Genomic DNA, 25,379 nt, shown 5'->3' with positions numbered 1-25,379 from the left:
GAAATGGTCATTTTCAGGGTCCCTAATATCCTTGCTATTAAATGTAAGGGACTGTTTTCGGCTATTTTATCACCTGTTGGGAGCATTTCACACTTTTGACCTCTCTTGCTCCTCCTTGAAATTCTCTACTCCTTGCTTCTGTGACGCTGTCTTTCGTTGTTTTACTCCTACCTCTCAGGGTGCTGCTTCTTGGTCTCCAGGGTCTTATCTCTGTCTGTTCATTAATCTTGGTGATCTTCAGGGTTCTGCCCTAGCACTCTTCATCTCACATTACACAGTCTCCCTGACCACCTCATCCATTCCCAGCTAATTTTTGTATTTTTAGTAGAGAAGGGGTTTCACCTTATTGGTCAGACTTTTGTTTTGTTTTGTTTTGTTTTGTTTTTGAGACAGAGTCTTGTTCTGTCGCCCAGGCTGGAGTGCAGTGGCGTGATCTTGGCTCACCGCAACCTCGCCCTCCAGGGTTCAAACAATTCTCCTGTCTCAGCCTCCTGAGTAGCTGGGACTACAGGTGCACACCACCACGCCTGGCTAATTTTTGTATTTTTAGCAGAGATGGGGTTTCACCATATTAGTCAGGCTGGTCTCAAACCCGGTTACTTTCATTAATACTTGTAACATTTATTTCCGGCCCAGAGCACTTTACCAAGGTCCAGATCCATTTATCTAGCAGCCTATTAGGCATTTCCACTTTGATTTCTCACAAGTTCCCCAAATTCCATATTATTATCTCACCCCTAAACCTCCTTTCATATGCCCTAGCTCAATGAATCGCATTCCCATTTACTCAGGTGACCAAGCTGGAATTTAATGAGTTATCCTGTTATCTTTAATTTATTGCCTTCTTTTCTTAGATGCAGTTAACTACTTTGAATCTACCATTTGAATTATACTTAATTTCCTCCGGTTCTTTCTACTCTCACTAATGAAGTTCAGGTTCACATCACTGCCCACATAAATTATGCAGGCATCCTCCTAAGTTTTGCCCCCTTTTCACTTATTCTCTACAGTATAGCTAGAGTAAACTTTCTAAGATGCAAATTTAATTATATTATTGTTTTGCTTAAAACTCTTCAATGGTTCTCTATTGCCCTCAGGATAAAAGCCGACTCTTTTTTTTTTTAATTATTACACTTTAAGTTTTAGGGTACATGTGCACAACGTGCAGGTTTGTTACATATTATACATGTGCCATGTTGGTGTGCTGCACCCATTAACTCATCATTTAACATCAGGTATGTCTCCTAATGCTATCCCTCCCCACTCCCCCATCTCACAACAGGCCCCGGTGTGTGATGTTCCCCTTCCTGTGTCCATGTGTTCTCATTGTTCAATTCCTACCTATGAGTTTTTTTTTTTTTTCAAAGACATTGTCTCACTCTGTCACCCAGGCTGGAGTGCAGTGGCATGATTTCAGCTCACTGCAACCTCTTCTTCCTGGGTTCAAGCTATTCTCCTGCCTCAGCCTCCTGAGTAGCTGGGACTACAGGTGCCCACCACCACACCCGGCTAACTTTTGTATTTTTAGTAGAGACGGGGTTTTCGCCATGTTGGCCAGTACGGTCTCAATCTCCTGACCTCGTGATTTACCTGCCTTGGTCTCCCAAAGTGCTGGGATTACAGGCATGAGCCACCACGCCCGGCCAAAAGCCAACTCTTTAATGTGTCTTACAACATGGTTCCTGCTTACCTCTTCAGCCTAGTCATTTTCTTCTGCTCATTGATTACTACGGCCTTAGATTCAATATACCATGATTTATTGCATCCCAGAGCCTTTGTATATGTTCTTCTTCTAGTCATCACACTTTTTTCAACTCCTTTTCCCTTACCAACTAGTATATGGTCTTTTTTTCTTCTTCTTCTTAAGAGACAGGGTCTCGCTTGGTTGCCCCGGCTGGAGTGCAGTTACATGATCAAAACTTACTGCAACCTTGAACTCCTGGGCTCAAGTGACCCTCCTGCCTCAGCTTCCCAGGTGGCTAGGACTATAGGCATGCACCACTACCCTTGGCTATTTTTTTTTTTTTTTCAGAGACAGGGTCTCACTATGTTGCCCAGGCTGGTCTCAAACTCCTGGTCTCAAGCAATCCTCCTGCCTCAGCCTCCCAATGTGCTGGGATTACAGACAGGAGCCACAATGCCTGGCCTCCTATACATCTTCAAGTCTCATCTTAGATATCTATATCACTTTCTTTGGGAAATCCTCCCTAAAATCTCTAACCAGCATTAAGTACCATCCCTGTGAGATCCCAGTACATCTTCTAGGATGATACACATCATACTGTATTTTCACCACCTGTTTGCTTCTTTTGCTCCCACTGCAGCGTAAGCTTTATGAAGGCAAGAACTGTGTCTTGCTCACTTTTGTGCCCCGGTGCTTAATACAATGCCTGACACATTGGCTCAGTATTTGTTGAATGAATGAAGAGTAAGTTAACCATTTCTAAAGTACTATATATCAAATATCATTAGTTCACTTACACATGTAACTCTGCTATTAACAGAGATCGGTAAATCCAAAGGTGCCTAAAGCATCATCTTTTTGGCATTTCTGGAAAGGGAACCATTGAAAAGTTTTTAAAAAATGCTGAAAGTCTACCTGTTGTATAGAGATGCCAGGGATTTTATTTTGGCCACAGAAACTAGACCTCAGGCTCTAAAGTTAGTGATTGAAGTCTACAGTTTAATGGCCTCTGCCCTTCCCTTTTCTTTTCATTATTTATAGGGAAGATAGAGTGGACACCCTTGCTCCAGCCCTACTCAACCTTCACTTTTGTTGGGGCACAGCAGCCCCTGGGAACATGACTCTCCCTGCTCCACTTATGCAGCTCCTACAACCTGTCATTTTCTTGCATGACCCTGCCACCCTATCCACAGGTGATTGGTTATACCTGGACATTGGACTTAAGCTGTGTTAATCATAATATCTGTCCCCTGCCCCTAACGGATTAGTCCAAAGATGGGCACAAATCTGTTTCTTTTCTGGGATTTTTTTTTAAACTTTTTTCTCCAGGTAGAGGGAGCTGTCTTGAGTGAGAGATAACTGTCACAGAAATGAGAAACAGAGAATCCTCATGGTGTTTAAGTTCTGGATTCAGTTAGTTGTGAAAGTTACCCTTATGCTTGTCCTTCCCATATTTAGTTTCAACACTTTCATGGGGTTTTTGCACCAATTAATTCTCTTTTTGGCCTAAGCCGATTCAGCATTAGTTTCTGTCACTTGCAACTAAAAGAATCTTGTCTACTTTAGAGTGAAATGTTCTACTTTTGATTCTGTCTTGGCTGATGTTGACAAAAGTAAGCTCCCAACATTCAACAGTCTGGCTCAATACACAAAATATAGATAACATGGTCATATTTTACCAGTAGAGGTCTTTTCTAACATAAGTCTCCTATGAGTGTCCTCAGAGTGATTACTCCACCATTTTTCTTTTGTAGATAGATTCCTGTATATATCATATATACTCTAAGCACTTACTTTTAAATATGAACTATCAATATCGTGCCATTTTCAAGATGGAGATATGCCTCCTTGTATGGCTCAAAAAGATCATAAATATGACATTAATGAGTCTACTTCCACAAGAAAGAAAATATCTGGAAGAGGGTAAAGGAGTTCTCCCCAAACATTGACTTCACAGAGTCGTATGGGGCCAAAAGGAGACAGTGCATATAAAAGAGACAAGCATCATGTACTTAATAACTTCGTATTTACTTATTTGCCCATTCTTGTGATGAAAATGCTGTGCTATAAAATGCTGATGAATTCTAGACATAGAGCTCAGATTATTCAATTCATTGGGCTGGATGAGATGTAAAATGTTTCCTTTTACTGGTAAATCAAGCCATGTCCACATGGAACACAAAGGGTTAACAGCAGCCCTGAGGCTCCTTCCTCCCTACTTGGGGAAAATGGTTGACCTCAACCAGGGCTCCTTGTAAACATGCTATGGCTTTTAAACTAGTGGAAAGATACCAGAGAGTCCCTATCTAAAATAACGTTTTTGGGCAGCATAGACTTGATCTGTCTAGACTACATATTATAAATAAAGTGGTAGTTTATGGATTTATGGGTCATGGCTGGCTAGAGATTGGGAGGTAGTCCTGTAAGCATTTTTAATCTAACTGAAGGAATATAAAACTGGGAACCCCCAAACCAAAATGGCATTTTTTAAAAAACAGCATGTTCACATATTGTTCAGAACTCAGCTGTTACTCTGAACCAAAGCATGTCCTAATGCAGGACAAGGGGAAGTTCTGGGGAGCTGCATCTGGTAGACTCAGGCACCTTCAGTAACTCTTCCATGTTGGTTCTTGCCAGTACCTTTGTATCATTAGTAAAGTCTGGTGTTGGGTAAGACGTATGATACTGACAAGTCTACCCTAAACTTTCAACTCTTTCGTTAACACGAAGTATATATAAGGAATAAGAAGATGGCAAATGCAGCATGTCAGAACAGACAGAGAGAGGATAGATTATTTTAAAAAATAGCGCTGTGAAAATTCGTTAATATCTAGAAATACACGGATTCGTACCTCAGATTATATACTAGAACAAAAAATAAGATGGAAAAATCGTAAAAAAAACTAGAATAGAAAATATATGAAATGATTTCTGATTTTTACTTAGGGAAGTTCTTTCTAAGCAAATTAATTAATTTAAAAAAATCAAAAGAAGAACCAGCAGAGATAGGATTGGTAGACAAAGAACAAACTGGGGGAATGTATTTGCAATGTATTTGACAGAGGTGGATTTAGTACACTGAGTAAAAAAAAACACTGAAAAAAAATAATGCTACTGTAGGAAAATGGCAAAGGTGATAAACAAATAATTGTCAAATGGAGAAATACAAAGTGTAAATAACTGTAAGTACAACTACATTCTAATTAAGAAAACTCAGTGAAAAAATGAGATACAATTTTCTGTGTATTACATTGGCCACACTTAAGAATGATGAGAATACCCTATGGTGATGACCAGGATCCTGGAATGCAGTTGCTGTCATCTCCACTGCTGGTAGGAAGTGAATGTGGCAGACATGGAAGAGAGAAACTGCTGTGCAGGGTACGTGAGCTCACCACCTACAGCTGCTGCGTTTTGGGGACCCATTGATATGGCTTGGCTTGGATATTAGTCCCTCCAGACCTCATGTTGAAATGTGATTCCCAGTATTGGAGGTGGGATCTGGTGGGAGGTGATTGGATCATAGGAATGGATCCCTCATGAATGGTTTAGCACCATCCCCTTGGTAATGAGTGAGTTCTCCCTCAGTTAGTTCCCATGAGATCTGGTTGTTGAAGAGCATCTGGGACCTCCCCCTCCCCTCTCTCTTGTTCCCACTCTTGTCATGTGGCATGCTGGCTCTCCTTTGCCTTCTGCCATGATTGTAAGCTTCCTGGGGCCGTCACCAGCAGAAGCAGAGGCTGGCACTATGCTTCGTATATGGCTTGCAGAACCATGAGCCAATTAAACCTCTTTTCTTTATAAATTATCCAGTCTCAGGTATTTCTTTATAGCAATGCAAGAATGGACCAACACACCCACCAAAGCGTTCATGCCAACACCGAGCTCTCCAGAATCACTAGCCACTGACTAAGCATGGTGATATCACTAGAACTGGGTCACTCTGTTCAATGCAGGACTCCTCTAGCAGGTCATCTTTGCTCAGGGGCTTCCCCTTGGCCTGGTTGAGGCTTTTTTTGTGCTGCACAGCTCTTTGTAGCCCTCCCTCCTTTCTTCTGCCTGTTCTTTCACAAGTGTCTGTCCTGATGAAAGCCATCCTGTCTTCCCACTGCTTTCTCTCCCCTTCATCCTTCACAAGAGTTCCCCCAATAATAATCTTGCATTTCTAATTTCATCTCAGTGTCTGGTTCCCAGAGGACTTGAACTGAAGAAAACAAATTAGTATAATCTTTTTGGAGGTCAATATAGTAATACTCTCTGACTTGTATTTTACTTTTATAAATTTATACCAAGGAAAAAAGCAGACATATTTATAAAGTTTTATGTAGGATTATTTGACACATATTTATAATTGAAAAAAGTGAAAATTAATGATAAATGATTGGAGATTTTATTATAGTCCATAAAACACTACACATGGTCTATCAAGTTTAAAGATATGGGAAGTTCACTGCTGCTTGTTTGGTTGGTTAAAAAAAAGAAAACAAAGTTATGGCAAATTACTTATTATACTGTTAAATGAAAAAAGATTATAAGTGGTACATACAACATGAGTTCAATCTTATTAAAATATGTATGTAGACAAAACAACAAATTATATACTTGAGGATGTAATTTTAATTTTATTCTTTGCATTTTCCCTGTAATTTCTAAACTTTCTGCAATAAACACATTATTTTTACAGTAAAAATGCATATTATTTAACTATAAAGGAATTTAAAAATCAACTACAGAAAATATCAAAATATAATCAATGATTATTCTTTGGGAGATAATATTATAAGTAATATTTTTCTGCTTTACTCTCTTTAATTTTTAAAATTTTCTAAAATCAAAAAGAATCTTCATTAAAACTAGATTTTACTGATTTTTTAAAAAAATTGTGCAAATCAGTTGAACGAAGAACAGATAACCTCAACAACAAATAATACTGAAACATTGGGCATTCATATTTTAAAATATGAACTTAACCTACATATCATACTTAGTTCAAAAATTAGCTCAAAAGGGTTCACAAACTCAAATGTAAAACATACAACAATAAACTTTAAATTTTTTTTAAAAGAGGGTTTCACTATGTTGCCCAGAGTGAAATGCAGTGGCTATTCACAGGTGCGATTCCACTAATGATCAGCGCAGGAGTTCTGACCTGCTCCATTTACAACCTAGGCTGTTTCACCCCTCCTTAGGCAACCTGGTGGTCAGGTCCCGGGAGGTCACCATATTGATGCCAAACTTAGTACAGACACCTGATAGGCATAGTTAACTACAACCCAGAAATGGGCTTAAGCAAGCTTTCTGCCTCAGCCTCCTGGGTAGCTGGAACTATAGGCCAGCACCACTGCACCTGGAAAAACTATAAAACGTCTAAAAGAAAACATAAGAGAAAGTCTTTGTAGCCTTAGATTAGACAAAGAGGTCTTAAATAAGACACCAGAAGCACAATCCATAATAGACAAAAATTGGTAAATTTTAGTTTATCAAAATTTTTAAAAATTTGCTCTGTGAAAAACACTGTTAAGAAAATGAAAATACAAATCTCAAACTGGGAAAAAATATGAAATTACATATCTGACAAATGACTCATATCCAGAATATATAAAGAACTCTCAAAACTCAATAGTAAGAAAACAAACAAACCAATGAAAAATAAGCCAAAGACTTAAACAGACACTTCACTAAGAAGGTGATGAATGCTAAATAGCACATAAGCAGATTCTTCACATCTCGAGTCATTAGGGGAACGCAAATTAAAAACACAAGATATCTCTCTACACTTTTAAAATGGGCAAAGCAAACAAAAGCTAACAATATGTAGTACTGAAGATGTCATTAAAACTGGAAACAACTGAGAGTGAATAGATAAACAAACTGGGGCACAGCTGCACAACAGAATGCTACAGAACAAATAAAAAAGAATGTGCATTCAACAATGTGGATGAATCTCAAGTAGAATCGAGTGGAATCTCAAATGAATTAGGCTAGTGGAAGAAGCTAGACTCAAAGGCTACATGTTGCCTGTAATTCCAGCACTTTGGGAGGCCAACAAAGGTGGGTGGATCACTTGAGGTCAGGAGTTCAAGACCAGCCTGGCCAACCTGGCGAAACCTCATCTCTGCTAACAATGCAAAAATTAGCTGGGCATGGTGCGGGTGCCTGTAATCCCGGCTACGCAGGAGGCTGAGGTAGGAGAATCTCTTGAACCCAGGGGGCAGAAGTTGCAGTGAGCTGAGATCGTGCCACTGCACTCCAGCCTGGGTGACAGAGCAGGAGTCTGTCTCAAAAAAAAAAAAAAAAAAAAAAAAAAAAGAAAAGGAAAAAAAAAAAGAAAAGAAAAGGAAAAAAAAAAAGAAAAGAAAAGGAAAAAAAATGGCTACATGCTTCTGATTTAGCTTAGATGATATTTTGACAAAGACAAAACAAAGGCAAAACAAAGACAAAATAGTAGGAACAAAATACAGATCAGAGTTTGCCGGGGCTATGAAAAGGGGAAGGGATTGACTATGAAGTGGCAACATGAGAGAATGTTTTGGGGGTGATGGAACTCTTCTGTATCTTGATGTTGGTAGTGGTTATACAACTCTACACATTTGTCAAAACTCATAGAAATGTACAACAAAAAATGAATTTTATTGTGTGTAAGTTAAGCCAATTTTTAAAATTAGGGAGACAGAAAAAAGTTAAAGATTGTTTTATAAAAGCATTCATATCTTTGATAATAATATTAATTAAAATTAGCTATGTATATGGTTTCCACTAAGTAGGTAAAATAATGCATACTTCTTAGGTTTATCAACTTTAAAATTCATAAATCCATAAGAAAACAAGTTAAAGAAGAGGTTAAAAAAAGAGCTTTCTATTTACTTGGATGAAACATTAGTTCTGTCTAGGGTTATGAGTTCTTTCCTCTTTCTTTCCTGTCTTTTCCACTCTTCCCAGTGTTCCCATGTGGCTGCCTGCAGATTTTTAGCACTAAGAGAAGTTTGTCATATGGATCTTCATTTATCAGGCTTTGAATAGCATAATGGAATGCTTTTAGCAGCATAGCAGAGCAGGCAGAGATATTCTTCATATGACAGACTCTTCCCTGGATCATCAATGAAAGTCAAGAGTCTAACACTAAAATCATGTCTCTGTGAAGGAATTTCTATCATAATCTAAAGCAAAATGGTCCATGATGTAGCTTTCTGGGGCTCTGTCTTGATCCAGGAATAGAACTTAGAGAAACTCACATTCCTAGGCTCTTTCTCTTGAATACCATGATTTTAGCCAAGTTTCTGGGGAGAGGTAAAGCTTAGAGAGCCCAAAGTGAACATCCCTAGCAGGTACAGTAAAAACTCTCCTACCCAGTTTACCAAGACAGGTAATTGGGTGGTTAAAAATTCAACGCTAACTATATATCTTAAACTTATTTTAAATTGAGACACATAATTATACATTGACCTACCAGTCTTCTGGTGATAGCCTAAACCAAGCTTGTAACCCGCGGACAAGGGCTACAAGTGACCCAGGAAGGCTTTGAATGTGGCCCAACACAAATTTGTAAACTTTCTTAAAACATTATGAGATTTATTTTTGCGATTTTTATTTTTAGCTCATCAGCTATCATTAGTGTTAATATTTTGTGTGTGGCCCAAGAGAATTCTTTCAACATGGCCCAGGGAAGCCAAAAGATTGGACACCCCTGGACTAAGACCTTCTCTTTGAGTATGAATCCACTGGTTGGAGTTCTTCATCTGGCAAGAACCATACTCATTATACATCATCTCCACTTGATCTTAGCCAAAAGGCTGAGAAGCGACACATAAAACATCATCTCCAATTTCCAGTTTTAATTTCTTTAAAGTCTAGAAGAAACTTGAAGATACTTGCAATGCACACCTAGTGCAGAATCATTCTGGAATTTTATGATTATTTGTCACAGTCTTTTATAGTTACCTTGGCCACACCAAATTTGATAGCATTTTTTTTTCTTACTAGCTCATCAAATTAATTTTTATGTTAACAGCTCTTTTTTCCCTCCTATTTCATCAAATCACCTAATCAAAATGTGGCAAAAACAGGTTTGGAAACCAGCATAGCTGACTCTTGGTAAGCATACAACTGAATGGGTGGGTCAGAAGTCCATATCTGGTACTAGAAGTAGCTTGCTAAACAAGGCATTAGTCAATAGGTTTCACAGAGGGAATGGAAAGTTTCCCTTAATCCAGTGACTCACGTAAGTGAAGGTCAGTTAAAAGAATACCTTTAGCACCTGAAATGTAGGTATTCTATGTTATTGATACATTTTGTTTTGAAAGTAATGTCTGTGATTTGCACACTGAATTGCAGGGATACATGTAAATAGGATGAAGATTTTCATCCTATAAGAACAACTATTACTGTTACTAAAGGTATTTGGATTTTTTATTGTGAACGCGTGCGACAATAAACACCATAAGGAACATAATCACCCTAGTTAACATAATTTCTTTTTCTTTATGCTCCCTGACCTGAGATATCTGATGCTCATTGGATTTCTCACATAGTCCCTCTCAGAATTTCCCATATGCTCTCCACTTCCTCACTGTACTCACAAGCTCTTGCTCCCAGTTGAAGTTTGTCTACAGAAATCAGAAATATCTTCCCTTTACTGGTACGGCTATGGGCTTCTGTCTTCAAACTCAGCCCTGCCCCAATATCATGAGCTACTTTTTGTCTGTTCCTTGATGTTTAATGAGGATATTACCTACCCAAAGAGACTTCTGGACTTCAGTTCTGAAAGTCCTGCTACACAGGGCAAGACTACTGTATTTTGACTTTGAGAGTGACAAATTATCCTTCTGTGCAAAATACAGACTTAAATTGGCACCTGTAGAGTAATTTATTTCCATCACAATTGTACCCCCAAGGGCTTGTCTACATAGACACCCCAGACAACTAAGTCTTTTCAAGACTTTCTGTGTTACCCATTTTGATTCCCAAGACTTTCTTCCAATAAAGTAGATTTTTACCTTTTTCAAAGCTGATATTAAGCTGCTCCTTTGACAATAACTGGCCAAATATTCCGTTGCTTCTTGAGGTCATAATCTAAAAGATATTGGCAGGACCATTTAATCTCCATAAAGGAGGATGTATGTCTTCCTGTCTGCTATGGAAGGAGAGTGAAAATCTAGTTCAGCTAAAAGCTATTTGAATTTATTCAGGTTTTAAGTTGAATAGGAATGTGAGAAAGTGTTACTTTGTGCTACTTAAAATTGAAGCTCTCTATGTTGGATAACCTTTCCTGTCATTTAATAATCAACCTTTCTTTCTTTCTTTATAGGCATTTTAAGGGGATCATATATTTTTCTCTTTGATTATTTATGATGGTTAGCTGAAGAGGTGGGGCTGGGAGGGAGCATCTTTCCAGAAGTTATTCCTGCATGGGGTGAGAGCAGAGCTAATCCTCTCCTTAGCATTCATTCATGTTTCAAGTTTCTTGTAGCCATTAGGTCAAACACGGGATGCACTGAGTATATTTAAGCTGAGATCAGGCATCTAGTGTATACACTTGTTCTTTAAGAAGAAAAATGTGCATACTTTAATAGATCTGTATATTCAGAGGTCTAGATCAGGATAGGGAATAAGTACATGTTTCCATGAAGAGCAGAAGCTCTTGGTAGATGGGCCAATAGCCACTGCCTCCACGTCCTCACATCTCACTTTCTCTTCAGCCCTCCAATCCAGACTTCTGTTCCCAGTGCTCCTCTGGCTGCTCATGTCAAGGTCACCAAGAACCTCTCTCACAAAATTCACTGGTCCCTCTGTCCTTATCTTACTGGACATTTCAGCAGCATTGGCAAAACTGTCTCACCTTCCATCTGAGACAGTTTTTCTCTTGACACCCAGGGCCCTATCACCCTAAATCCCTGGCCCCTACTCAGTCGCCTTTGCTGGATCTTCCTTTTCTTCCTAGGTTTTAAGAGAGCACCTCAGTGCCCAGCCCCTAGCTCTCCTTTGTTTTCTATCTACATCATCTCCCTACATGAACTCATCCAGTCCGAAAGTTTTAAATACCACCTCTATGCCAGTGCCTTCCATATTTAAATTTATAGCCCTGACCTTTCTTTTGAGCTCCAGATTTGTCCTAATGGACATTATCTTTTAATGGGTATTAATGGATGCTGAAAGGAATCACCAAGTTATTATGTTCAAACACAGCTTTTGATTTTTTGCTCTCTCATCTGCCAAAGGGTACCTCACCTAGACCTCCCTGTTTCATGGCACAGCACCACCATCAAATCAGTTACTCAGACCGACTTGTTTCTGATTCTCCCCTTTCCCTCATCCTCATCACTGCCCCTCCAAGCTGCAACCCTTCTGCAAATTCTGCTGGTCTTACCTCTAAACAGTTGCTTACCTCTAAAACAAGCAACTATTACCCAAGGGACGAATTCCTCTATTGCCCTGTACAGTCTTTTCTTACACATCTTAAAAACATAAATCTCATCCTCCAGTGGCTTTTCACTGCATTTTAAATCAAATCCACTCTTTCTTGTGACCTAGCGAGGCCCTGACAGGCTGGTTGCTAACTCCTTCCTGACCTTGTCTTGTCCTGCTTTCCTGCCTCTCACCACACTCCAGTCTGTCAGGCTCTGGAACTAGCCAAGTTCGTTCCTGCCTCAGGGTCTTTGCATTCACTCCTCCTTCTGCCTGGCATGCTCTGCCCCAGATCTTCGCATGGCTGGCTCCTTTACCATTCAGATCTCACCCCAAATGTCATCTTCCCAAAAAGGACTTTCCTGGGTACCTGAATCAGCTGCTCTTTTCCTCCACCCACAGATGCAGCACACTTGCTCTCATATTATCCTTTTTCTATTACTGTCCTTATACACATCCCACTTTTGTAATAATCTTGTTTATTTATTTGCTTTCTTATTTATCATATGTCCCCTCTGGCAGAAATAAATTTCACAAGTGTAAGTCATGTCTGCTTTATTTCCTGGGGTATCCCCAGTGCCTGGTACATAGTAGGTACTCAATACATCTTTGTTGAAGGAATAATTGTAGAATAAATAGTTGTAGCTTAGAAATAGACATGAGGTGGGGAGGGAGAAGGTTGGCATAACGTTTAAACTTCTAACGGAGTTTTACTTCACTGTATCAAAATACAAAGAGGCATAAAGCTTTGAATGTATGTGAAATTGTTGTTAAAATCTGGGTCTCTTGTACATACTTTATTTATGGAAGAAAAATATGAGGTGATGATCTTTATGTTTAATTCCTCATCCTGCCACTTTCTAGGGCAGGGGTTCATAACTTTTTTTGTCCATTGGGATCACCTCAGGGGCAGGGCTTCGATCCCACCCCCCAGGTGGTCCCAATTGATGTGGGTCGTGGCCTGAGCATTAGGAGTTTTAAAGATTTACAGGTGATTTTAGTATGCAGAAAAACTTAAGAACTCGTGTTCTGGGAGATATTTATGGAACTCATGAAATATGCTTTCCAAAGCTCATGTAGTCTGGGAAATAGAGCCATTTACCTGAAGATCTAGCATTAGAGTCTTCAAAGCTTCTTATTCATTAGTATAGACAGGGACAGGGCCTAACTCATTCTGGCTGAGTTTGAGTATCACCAACCACATCAGTCTCTCTCAGCTCTAGATGTTTCAGGAGCAAAGAGAAGAGAATTTCTGAATGCAGGTGGAAGATGAAGGTCCACTCAAGAGGGAAGAAATGAAGGGACTACCTAGGTGGTCCAACTGAGAAGCTGGTATGGTCATCACCTGGGCCATAGCAAGAGGGAAGAGTTCTCAGGGGTGGCATCCAGAAGCTGTTTGGCAGAAAGGGAGATGGACTGGTAACAACAGCCTGGTGTGAGCAATGCCCTCGGAAATGAAGGCACAAGAGTGGCAGTCCAGATTCCAATCAGTATGTGTATATTGATGAGGCTGTGAGGTAAGTGGGCCAGAGGCACAGAGCTGCAAACAATACTGAAGGGGTAGTGTGATTATGCTAGGGATTCAGGCTGCAGCATGGGCTGACTCAGCAGTGAATGTGGGACAGGCCCTCCGCTACCCAAATACACTAGAGAAGAATGGCCTGAAAAGGGGGTTGGGGGTGTGTGGGGGCAACAGACTCCACAAATAATATGAGAGGTGGGGGCTCAAGTCATTTTACTTGGGTACTAAATGTAAGGGTAGTTTCCAGGAACTGAAGAATTTAGAGAAACTTTTGTTTCATTATTTATAGAGGTTTTTAGCAGCTGATGCTTTTACTTTCACCAGGAAGTAGAAAACTAGATCATCATTCTTTTTACTTATTGTTTTTAAAAGGAAATGGCTTTCCAAATACCTAAAAAAGCAAACATAGGTGCTCCTACATTCAACTTCCAGAAACAAAAGGTTATTATTTTGACACTTGAAACGGTATTTACACAATTTCTCCTAAGAATAAATGCTCTTTCTAAAGCCTATTCTGCCTCTCTACACTTTGCAGATTAAGCCTCATTGTTCTACGGGGCTCTTCTGTTTGGGTTTATGAAAACAGACACTGGGCTGATACAACCCAGGTACAGCTCCAGGAAAAAAAAAAAAAGGATATTACAACAAATTGTGGTGGTGCTTGCACTATTCAGAAAAAGATTTAAGCAATGATAACATCAAGTCATTGTTTAGCTCTTCCCATATACGGCTCCAGTTCAGTTTTTATCATCCAAATTAGTCCAACTTTAAGTATAAATCTGTCTTTGGTGAGCACCTTCTTTTTCATTTTCTGAAAGACAGTAAGCATGCCAAAAAGACTTATGAAACGAAATCTTTCAAGACCTAAGATTCTGTCTAAAAATAGCACTTCCCGATAAGCAATGAGCAATTTTTATTCTTTACTTGTGCTTGTATGCACATAGCAAAAGAGAGAGGGGGAAAAAAAAACTAGCAGGTAGGAAACTAAAGGATAGAGCAGGAGGGGAATTTCCAAGATGATGAAAAATTTTAACATTGTTTAAACATATTAGTAAATATGCTACTCCAATGTTATTAATAAAGGAGTTCTCTAAATTACCTAAATACCCTATGTTGTTTGAAAAATTCTCTCTAATTCTTGCATAGCAACATACGCTCAAAATCATGTGAGAACAAGCCTACCATACATGTGCACAAACAAGATTTTTTTCAGGATCTGTGAATTTTTATCTTCATTTTCCCAGAAGCAGATGCTGGAAACCTCAGTGCCTAGGACACAGAAAAGTGCATAATAAATGTAGGCTGAACCAATGAATGAGTGAATGAATGAATGAACAAACGAATAAGGAGCATATTTCCATACTGTGCCCTAGAATGGCTGTGACCTTATTGCATGGGGTGACTTCTTCACGGACTGCAGCTAGATTAGAAAATGAATGAGTGTAATCCCACAGACCTCCTAATTTGGAAGATGTCGAACAACAAACTCCCCAGGTGCAAGTTTTGTATTTTTTTTTCTCAGTGTGCAGATTGATTGAGTCTCCAATGACTCTGTTATTTACCACAGATTTTTAAAATTAAGATTGAATAAAGTATTCTTTTTAAAATAGCTTGTAATTTCCTTGGAAGCCTCTCTTACAAGATTTTCTAATACTGCAGAAAAATAGAAGGACGTATAGTTTTGAAACACTGTTCTGCAGGAGCCATTTTTTTAGTTGTCTTACATTCAATCCTTCTTCCTATTGAGGGACTCCCCATTATTGATGGTATTGAGGGTGTACAATGTCCACTATAGAAGAAGTGTCTTTCCATGGGGAGAGTATTTCCTCTCCTACTCCCTGCAACCAGGAAGCTGCACATGACCAACTGGGTTTTCGTACCAGAGCTTTGAAGCTGGAGTGTTTGACCCAAGAGGAAGGGATAATTAGGATTCATTTAGGGCAGCAGCATCCATCAGTGGTGTTGGCTAGGGCAACATCCTGGCCAGCCTGTCTCAGCTATGTAGACTGTGCATTCTCCTTGGTTTGTGTCCATTTTCCAACCCCTTTTCTCTTGTTTCCCCATGTGATTATAATGGTTCCCTTTGCATTATTTGGAATAATGATTCCAATAAATTATTCTACTTAATAAATATATCTGGAGCCACCTGCTCTTGCTTGCAAAAAAAAAAGAAAAAACCCTACTGACACATCTCCTGAATTACTGATTAATAACAGAGCTAAGTCTATTCTTGGCAGTTATAAGTAAAATGAAGGGAAAAGCAAAAATTATAAATAACCTAATACACTTGAACCACATTTAGACATGATTTGTACTTCCAGTCATGGCACAGTGGAAAGTATAGTGGCCTTTGAATCAGGGGGATATAAGTTCAAGCACTGACACTAGCATTTATTGCCTTTGTGACCTTGAGCAAGACACTTAATCTTTGTGAGCCTTCATTTCCTCGTCTATTACACAAGAATAAAAATATCACACAGGTATGTTCCAAGGACAATGTGAGATTATTTTTATCACGAAAGCACTTTTAAATCTTGAAGCTATTTTTGTCATTCTAGGCCAATAATATCTCTTCTATATAATCTCATTTTGTATGCAATCTACATTCATTACATATTTCCTACTTTCTTTTTCAGATAAACCTGGGAGATGAAATACTTCTGGCTTCAAATTCTAGTTTTTAAAAGGCCCCTATGTCATTACTTCCAATGTGAGCAATACAGTTAAAGTATGTTGTAAAGATGAGTAGATAAGTTTTTTTTCTCAATTTGAAAGCCAAGTTTACATTTGACCCGACTATCTCACTCTCCTAATGACGGGTGCATGCACACAGAGCAGTTCAGACCACAGCTCCTGACCTGGTGATCCTTCAAAGATACCATCTGAACACTTTGGCTTCTACTAAAAATTAATGTGGTTGAAACATATTTTCCTGGTTTATTGATGTCACCTGGTATGGAAATGGTATAGAAGTCCTGAAGTATAGAAGTATAGAATTGGTATAAAAGTCCAGCCCGTGGAGGTTCTTAAGTAGCCATAAATGGAAGTTTTCTGGCCATGTGATGCAGGAACACAACTAAAGGAAGGTTGTGAAAACTGAAGCAGAGATACAGAGAATGGGAGATGACATGAAGCTAGAACAGCAAGGATCCAGAATCTGGTCACTTGTCTTGGTGAAAGAGAAAGGGAGACAGCCCTTCTTGGAGGCTATACTTGTTCAAATAGATCCCTTGTCTATGCCAGTGGTTCTCAAACTTGTCTGCATATCAGAAACACCTGGAGGTATTTTAAAAATTCTGGAACCCAGGCCATGCCCCAGACCAAGAAAATCAGAATCTCTGAGGGTAGGACCCAGACATTGGCATTTTTTTAGGCTCCCCAGGCGATTCCAATGGGCATCACAAGCTTGGTAACCACTGGTTTGTATTGTTCTCATAACCTTTTTATTTCAGTAAACCCTGTGATCTGAAACCAACAATATCTTAGAGTTTCTTTTCTCCCATTCCTGTACCCAGTCCTGGTTCTCTTGGATCTTGAGCCTGACAAAAAGCCAAGATACAGTCATTATATGAGGTGAATATTCTATATCATTTTGAAAACATTTCTAAAGGCCTAATCACTTTTATAACAGAAAAATACTTGCTTTAAACCCAAAGTCATTTCCTTTATCAGCAGCTCGTCATTTCTCTAAGGCATTCTTTCTGAAATGAAATATTCTATTTTTGGTGTCAGACCTTGGACTATTTTTAAACACTTGAAATAATTCTCTTTTTTTGGTATTAAAATGGCAAAAAAGTACATTTTTCTAATCAAAATATAACCTCCCAAACTATTTTTATTCTATCCCAGATTGTTAAAGCTAAAATCTATAAGTTTTTATAATTCTCTTTTTCTGAATTACAATAAAAGTGTTATCAATGCCGCAAGTATTTTTGGTTAAGGAATATTGGAATACGTTGTAATAATAATAATAGCTGGCCTGTATTGAATACTTCTTATGTGTTCTATGTTTTGCTTAGTTCCTTACCTATATCACATCATTTAATTCTCATGGCAACCCAGTGAAATTGGTGCCATTATTATCCTCCCTCCCACTTTTTTTTTTTTTTTTTTTTTTTTTTTGAGATGGAGTCTTGCTCTGTCGCCCAGGCTGGAGTGCAATGGTGCAATCTTGGCTCACTGCAACTTCTGCCTCCCGGGTTCAAGCGATTCTCCTGCCGCAGCCTCCTGAGTAGCTGGGATTACAGGCTCGCATCACCACACCCAGCTAATTTTTGTATTTTAGTAAAGACGGGGTTTCACCATGTTGGCCAGGCTGGTCTCGAACACCTGACCTCAGGTGATCTGCCCACCTCGGCCTCCCAAAGTGCTGGGATTACAGGCCTGAGCCACTGCACCCGGCCTATCCTTCCTTTTTCAGGGGTGGAAACTCAGGCTCACAGGGGATAATTCTCTGAAGTCACATGTTTGTTAAGTAGCTGTTACGGCATGTGTGAGTGAATGAAAATTTATTGAACAATTGTGTGCTTAAATGTGACCTAATCTTTTTCACTGATGTCTCTTATTTTATCTTCATAACCACCAATACACCAGGCAAAAAATATCACAGGATGCTCTAGGGAAGAAAAACGGATCAAGAGCCTTCTCTCCTGGCTCCCTGGCCTCCTGACTTTCTCACTTCTGCTTCCTCTCTCATTATTCTCTCCAATGAAATGAGGGCAGCCCCGCCAGGACCCAGAACAAATACTGCAGGAGAAATGCCTTCTCCGTCTTCTCCCTAGATCTTCGGTCTTCAAATCAGGAAGATGAACAAGTCTAAGGTTAGTACATTTTTGTAGGTAACCTAGAGGACAAGCAAAGCAGCCAGTTTTTGCATATATCTTCGTAATAAATATAAAAGCTAAAGCTCTACCTATGGAGATATAATTATTTTTGAGATTTTCTACAACTATATTTCAGACTGATATGCAAGGTTTGACATGTGTGGATAGATTTTTTCTCTCTCTTAGTATTTACCACAGAATATTTAGAAAACAGACATGTAAAAAGAACAAAATGAAAGTCATTCATCAGGAAAGGAAAAACTAAAGATTTTGGTGTATATCCTTGCAACTATATACATATCTACATAATTTTTTCATTTGGCTTCAAAAATGAGGTCATAGAGTAAAACTATTTTATAATCTGCTGTTTCACTTAATGTCATTTTTTATGTTTGTACTGTATTCTAGCACCTGGGTATGCGTTATTTATTTAATTAATCCTCTGTTGGATATTTAGAACATTCCTCTTTTTTTTTTTTTTTTTTTTTTTTTTTTTTTTTTTTACTGTTATAAGCAATGCTTTAATATACATACAAATTTTTGTGCCTAAAAGAAACTTAGAAATGATATGAAAACCGCAACCAAGAGTGGTCAGGGAATTGACCAAAATTACCCAGCTGAAATCTTGGCAGAAACTCTAAGTGGGGTCTTCTGATTATCAATCCTCGCCTCTTTCCTCCATACCAGTAGTTCTCAATCCCTACTGCAGATTCTCAAATCACCTGCTGAGATTTAAAAATATATCATGTCCTCGCTTCACCTCCAGACATTCTGAATTAATTGATCTGGGGTGGAGCCCAGGTAGCAGTATTGTTAAAAAACTCCCTGGGGGCTCTAATTTGCTGCAGGATTAGGAGCCACACTGCTCTATACCAGGCAGGCAGCTGCTGGAATCAAGACTTCACAGAGAGCTGTCCTAGAACCCTCTCAGCATTAGCTTCTGCAAGTTAAACAGGGAATGGTATAATACAGTCTCTCAAAACATCCTATAATTATTCTTTCTTGAGCTAACTGGACCCGAGTATGTTACTCTGGTAACTTCTTGGTCCATTTTCGTGGGGTATTTGGTCTTGAAAGAGAAATTTCAAGTGTGTATTCAGGAGAATACATTGGAAGAGAAGTGCTTCTTTATGTAACTGCTCAGGTTTTAAGAAAGCTTTGAATGTTTGCTTTACAGGTGGTAGAGGGGAAGGGCTGGAGAGCAAATGAGGAGCTGCAGCTTGAGTATCTCAGGCTTTTCCCATTTGTACTCACAGCCACAGAGCCCTTTAGCATTAGCTCACACACAGATCTCCATGGCTCTGAGCCCCTCCTGCTTGGTGGCAGCATCTCTTGAGGCATCTCCAGGAACCCCAGGGTTGAATTTCTGTAAAATAATGGTAGGTGTCTAAATGGTTCCATTAGTTGCTCACTGCCATGGTAAGCTGGCCTGATCATCTGTAGCCTCAGGCCCTAACTGTCCTACAGAGGTATCAGTCGGACTAGGACTTGGCCATCACTGCCATTCATTGTGCCTTTTTGGTTGCAGGGAAGTTGGAAATAGGTTGTAAGCTGAGGCTAGGGAAAATGGTGCTCACCCACCATGTTTTCAGGCCAGAGATTGCAAATTAGGAAAAGACTGCCTTCTGTGTTTTCCAGTTATTTAGACAAGTGTCTGGAGGCAAAGTTAATTGGCCCACAAAGCTCTAGGATTTAGTGATTCAGCAGTTCAATTCATACCCACAGGTTCCCACTCCAGGGCCTGAGCTGAGAAGAGTTTGGGGCCATGATATACCCAGAGTACCACTCTCTCAGTGAAACTGGCCCAGTTTTCCAACAAGCCAGATGCCAATAGAATTGAAGCAAACTTACATTTGTACAATGAAACACACCTGCTGCCTGCTGACCAACTCCTTTTCCTTGCCCCTCCTGTTTTCCTTTGCGGCTATATAAACCCGTAAGTTTAGTCAGGAAGAAGGAATGGATTTGAGATCTGGCTCTCGTCTCTCTGGCTGACGTCACCCGTAATATAATAAAGCCTTCTTCCCTTGTCAATACTCATTGTCTCAGTGATTGGCTTTCTGTGCAGTGAGCATCAGGACCTAGCCTGGACCCCTGGTGTTCAGTAACATTAGAAACTACAGCAAAGTGCTAGATTCCCTTCTCCCTTATGGTGGATTTGCTCCTGGGGGCTTCCTGCTGTCCTTCCTGTGATCTGGATGCTTCAGGTCTGTATAATACATCAGAACACCAATTGAAGATAAATGATGAAATAAAAATGGAGGAGATAGATGTCCATTTACAAGTGATAGAAGAATCTGCTTGGTCCTAGCTCTGCTTACTCAGAAATTCTTCACAATAAATAACAGGATGGCTGGAGAGGGGCACCTGTGGGGTCGTGGGCAAGATCGTGGGCTAGAAGTCAGGAGATCTGGCTGCTCATTCCAACTCAGTTGCTCACAAGCTGTGTGACTAAGGCAAGTCACCTCACCTCTCAGGGCTTCAGTTTCCTCATATGTAAAACAGGGATAATAATTCCCAGCACATAGAGGTGTTAGAAAGGATTAAATGACATAATTTTGGTGGAAGCACATTACATCTTGCAAATCACTAGAATATCCACAGTCATAGTGGGGTCCACCCTTTCAGTAAAGGGTAATTGTGCCTCTTGGGAGCCTCTCATTCTCCAAGATATCAAGGAGTAGGATACAGCACACCTTTAGCTCTAAAGTTGAAGTCTAAAACCACAACAAAAACCCTGTAAGGGACTTCATAAGACATCTAGGAAGGAATACAGTCCCAATAGCTGTTCTTTCTGTTATTCCTTGCCTTAGATTGCTGAGCTAGGGTGGAGACGCTCCTACATTAAGAACACCTCCCTCCTTTATCACTTGCTCTGTTCCTATCTCTACCTCCATCACCAGTATTTGCATACGCCTATCTGCTTGGGGGCTTCTATTTCATCCCCGGAGGAGGGAGGAAGTTGAAATGGCTGGGAAACAGACCTAGAAAAAGGCAGAGGATGATGGCGGGTTGAGTGGTATGTTTACCACCTGGACCCTAGAATAAACTCAAACCTTGATGAGATGGAGTAGAGGCAGAAGTGACAAGAAATACATGAAGTTTATGAGTGGCACTTTCTCAAGCCCCAGGCCACCAAGTATGGCATAGAATTGGTGGAGAGGCCAACTCACATTTCACTATATAACCCACCCACTCTGGGGACTGCAAGCTTTCAGAGCACCTCAAGACAAGCCCCGTGCCTGGATTTTTCAGAATGATGGCAAGGAAGTTGTGCTAAGGGGCCTCGTGGGCAGTGGGCATGGACAAGGGACAGCTGAAGCAGGAGAGGGAGAGAGGAGGGTTGAAGTTGCCGTGCGATGCCTGTGGTTGCAGACTGATTGGTGGGCTCATGTGCACTATCTCTTTGGGGGCTAATACAATAATAAAAATAAAATTTTTAAAGGACATGAAAGTTTAGGAGTTAGGGATTCAATTGTCCTCAAAAGCCCCAGAAAAATTCAATTGCATTAGCAATATAATAGTGATGTTTAAAATGTTGATGTTGAATCTATAATTAGAAGAAATTATAGAGGAAAAAATTAAATTTTCATAGAAATCTCAGATCTTAGAGTTTTAATGAAACTCTGTGTTAGTCATATGATCCAGTTTCCCTTCAAATGCACACATTTCTTCCCTAGACATCACTCCGCGGTAATACCCACATTTCTTGATCCCTAATCTCCTTCACCTTAGTTCCCTTTCACTTGACTACTTTATTGGATGAGGGAAAGGAAAGGGCAGGAGAAAAATGGATGGGGTACATTAAATCTTGAGTCTTAGAATAGGGACAAAATAACTTTTGGAAAGGAAATGTTTGATATAGTTTCCGCACTTGTAAGCAGAAAAAGCTGATGATAGAATGAACACTGTGCTGGGAATTCAGAAATAGTTGTCTAGAAATGGCCATAACTCTTTTGTGTAGATTGACATCTGACAATATTTCATATACAGTGTTCTCTTACAGTTAAATCCTACCAGCTACTAAATCATATAAATAACATGAAAGTAGGTTAAGAAGTTTTTTTCCCCTTAGGGTCTCACTTAGGTAAAGTTAAATATGTATGCCCAGTATTTAGCATGCATGTGGACCTCAGACTCTGTTATATACCTGACAGGCTATTTGTCTTGATCCTAATTATAATAAGATTGATGGTTCCTGTTTGATGCAAGAGAGTAATATGTGAGCCATATGATAATTTGCATTTGTCTTCTTGGCAAAAGAGAGGGTCTTTCAAGCAATTTGACTTCAGAACAAATTAACAAATATGATAATTTCTTTATGTTCAATTCCAGAAAGGTGTAACATGTTCCTAAGGCTAATTAAAAAGATTTGGTCTTCATTAATAATTCAAAGCCAAAATATATTTCCTTTTTTCTCAATATTTGGTGTATTCTTTTTATTTTAATTATGTGACAGGTACTGACAAGTTTTAACACTCAACAATGTGCCATTCTGAAAGCAGCAAAGAAAGAAGGTGATAAAGGTCACAGTTACTAATATAAACTCGAAGTGATAAAACACTCAGGCATTTCTTTAATTGTTCACATCCAACAATCTACAAATATTCTGAACAAACAAGCAGGTGGTAATTAACAGAGGTAGACACTAATGGCTGAGAGCCACTTTTAGTCAGCAAATTTTTCTATGGGCCAACATATAAAAATAGTGGTATTTCACATGTAAACTTGAATTCATAGATTCTCTTAAGAAAAAGCCACACCAAAAAAAAATGGCACATTTGGCCAATATTTCCCCATGGGAATCAGCAAACAATGAAGCCTGGGTGGCAGCTGCCTGCTTCAGATCCAGGGGCACGGGCTCACCCCAACAGCACTGCCCCACTGTGTCCACTTTACTTTTTTGCTTCACCTACCTGGGGCCCTGCTGGACCTGGGTTTGGAGACCTTGAAATGCACACTCCCTCCAATCACCAACTCTAAGACTGGATAGTCCCTTTTATTTTCCTTCAACTACATTCCTTTATCTCCTGGCAGTACCCACTCCTTAGTCAGCATAGTTCCCAAAGAACTGGTTCGGCCCTCCTTCCCCATTTTCTCTTTTCTTTTCCAGCTGAATCATTCTCCTTCCCTGCCTCTTTCCCCCTCACATCCCACAGAATTTCCCTCTCAGAAGATGGAGAATGCCTTTATAATGCTGACACGTGAAGCAAGACTTTCCTGGAATGAACTGTGTGATCACATATATCTTTTGGAAAGATTACACCTAAATAGATATCTGAACTCGCTTCACATTTTCACATTAGATCTACAATGGCGCTGTGCAATAACCTAATACTAAAACTTAGAGAAGAATTTAAACCACTCTGAGCCTGAACAGATTTGGTAGCTTAAAACATATTTCATCCTCAGAAAACAAAAGATTGAATCTATGAATATAGAAACAGTTGATATGGCTTGTTTTATGGAAGGAACATTTGCCAAGTGATTTTGCATTATGGTGCATGCTATGGTCTAAAATAATCCTCATTATTCAATGATGGTACAGTACTCAAACAGATGCAGCCATTTGAGCTCAAACTTCAGATAGTAAGAAAATGTGACTTATGGTGGAAAGACATGCATGGGAGTCACCCAGTTTGGAGGAGACAGCAATCTCCTTCAAATCATGTTCTTCCCTATATAGAGAGTCTTTAGTGAGGGCTGAATCATGTTCTGGTTTCTGACTGTGTGCACACAGATAAGGCTTCTCAAATGTCCACTGGTGACTACCCCAGCTATACTCTTTCAAAATGATGAAAACTGGGGTCTTTGGCCATCTGCTGTGGTCAAGGGAACTGACCCAACTTGGGGAGAGACCTTCCATTCAGCCTTCCATTCAGTAGGGTGAGTATTTCTCTCTTCCAGGCAGAGGATAGCTGTACTCATTGGAACTACACATTGCCAAATTATGGTCACAAAAAGATTCTGACCGTTTATATTTGCCTCACCTAGCTCACTTGAGGATAGAGAATCTGTTGTAGTCCTCATAGGGGAGGTCTTTCTACACTGGCCACTATTTTTGAGCAGGACCCAGATAAGGATTATCACAACACCAAAACAAATAGATTTTTGTAGAAGTTAATAAAGTGCTTGTAAGAACAGGAACAAGAGTCTGAAGGTGATTGGTCTTTGACTTGTTTTCCAGTTACTTTTTACTCTGTAGGAATGTATCCATTTCTTCCCACCCACATTTTGTTACAGCAGCATAGAACAGAATGGAGTAGAATCATTTATTAGAAAAAAATTACACAAACGCAAAATGTTTTTGATGCACAATTCAAGAAACATTAAGTGCTTATTATATATCAAGGACCATTTTAGCAATAGGTTTCTATTGCTACCTAAACTTTTCCTACCTCAGCAATATTTTGGCGAGGGTAAGGGAAAATGGTTTATTCTTTAATTCTAAGATAAATAGGACTGTTCATGGTAATGGAAAAATAGGAATATGGTATAAAAGATGAAAAATCAGAAAATATCTGTTTACTGACAATATGTAAAAGACACAAAAGGCCAGGCGCGGTGGCTCATGCCTGTAATCCCAGCACTTTGGGAGGCCGAGGTGGGTGGATCACCCGAGGTCAGGAGTTTGAGACCAGCCTGGCCAACATGGTGAAACCCCGTCTCTACTAAAAATACAAAAATTAGCTGGGTGTGGTGGCGCATGCCTGTAGTCCCAGCTACTTGGGAGGCTGAGGCAGGAGAATCCTTGAACCCGGGAGACGGAGGTTGCAGTGAGCCAAGGCCACGGCGCTGCATTCCAGACTGGGTGACAGAGCAAGACTCCATCTCAAAAAATAAATAAAAAAGAATTTAAAAAACCCATCAAGTTCACAGATTTCCTCAGCTTAATGAGTGGATGGCAAGACTGGAAATAAGAATTCCATGCCAAAATGGAACACTTCAA

At 39.6% G+C, this 25,379-nt stretch overlaps 1 protein-coding gene and 1 pseudogene across 3 annotated transcripts in view; both read right to left on the bottom strand.

Annotated features, from left to right (window-relative positions):
• Positions 1 to 25,379, bottom strand: part of RGS7BP (regulator of G protein signaling 7 binding protein) — a 106,305-nt gene that overhangs the window by 65,780 nt on the left and 15,146 nt on the right. The window lies entirely within an intron of this gene.
• On the bottom strand, positions 6,751 to 7,035 carry RN7SL169P (RNA, 7SL, cytoplasmic 169, pseudogene; annotated as a pseudogene).

The sequence above is a fragment of the Homo sapiens genome, chromosome 5 (assembly GCF_000001405.40).
Source record: "Homo sapiens chromosome 5, GRCh38.p14 Primary Assembly".
Taxonomy (NCBI): Eukaryota; Metazoa; Chordata; class Mammalia; order Primates; family Hominidae; genus Homo; species Homo sapiens.
The sequence above is the reverse complement of the archived record's forward strand: the minus strand, read 5'-3'. Positions and strand labels throughout refer to the sequence as shown.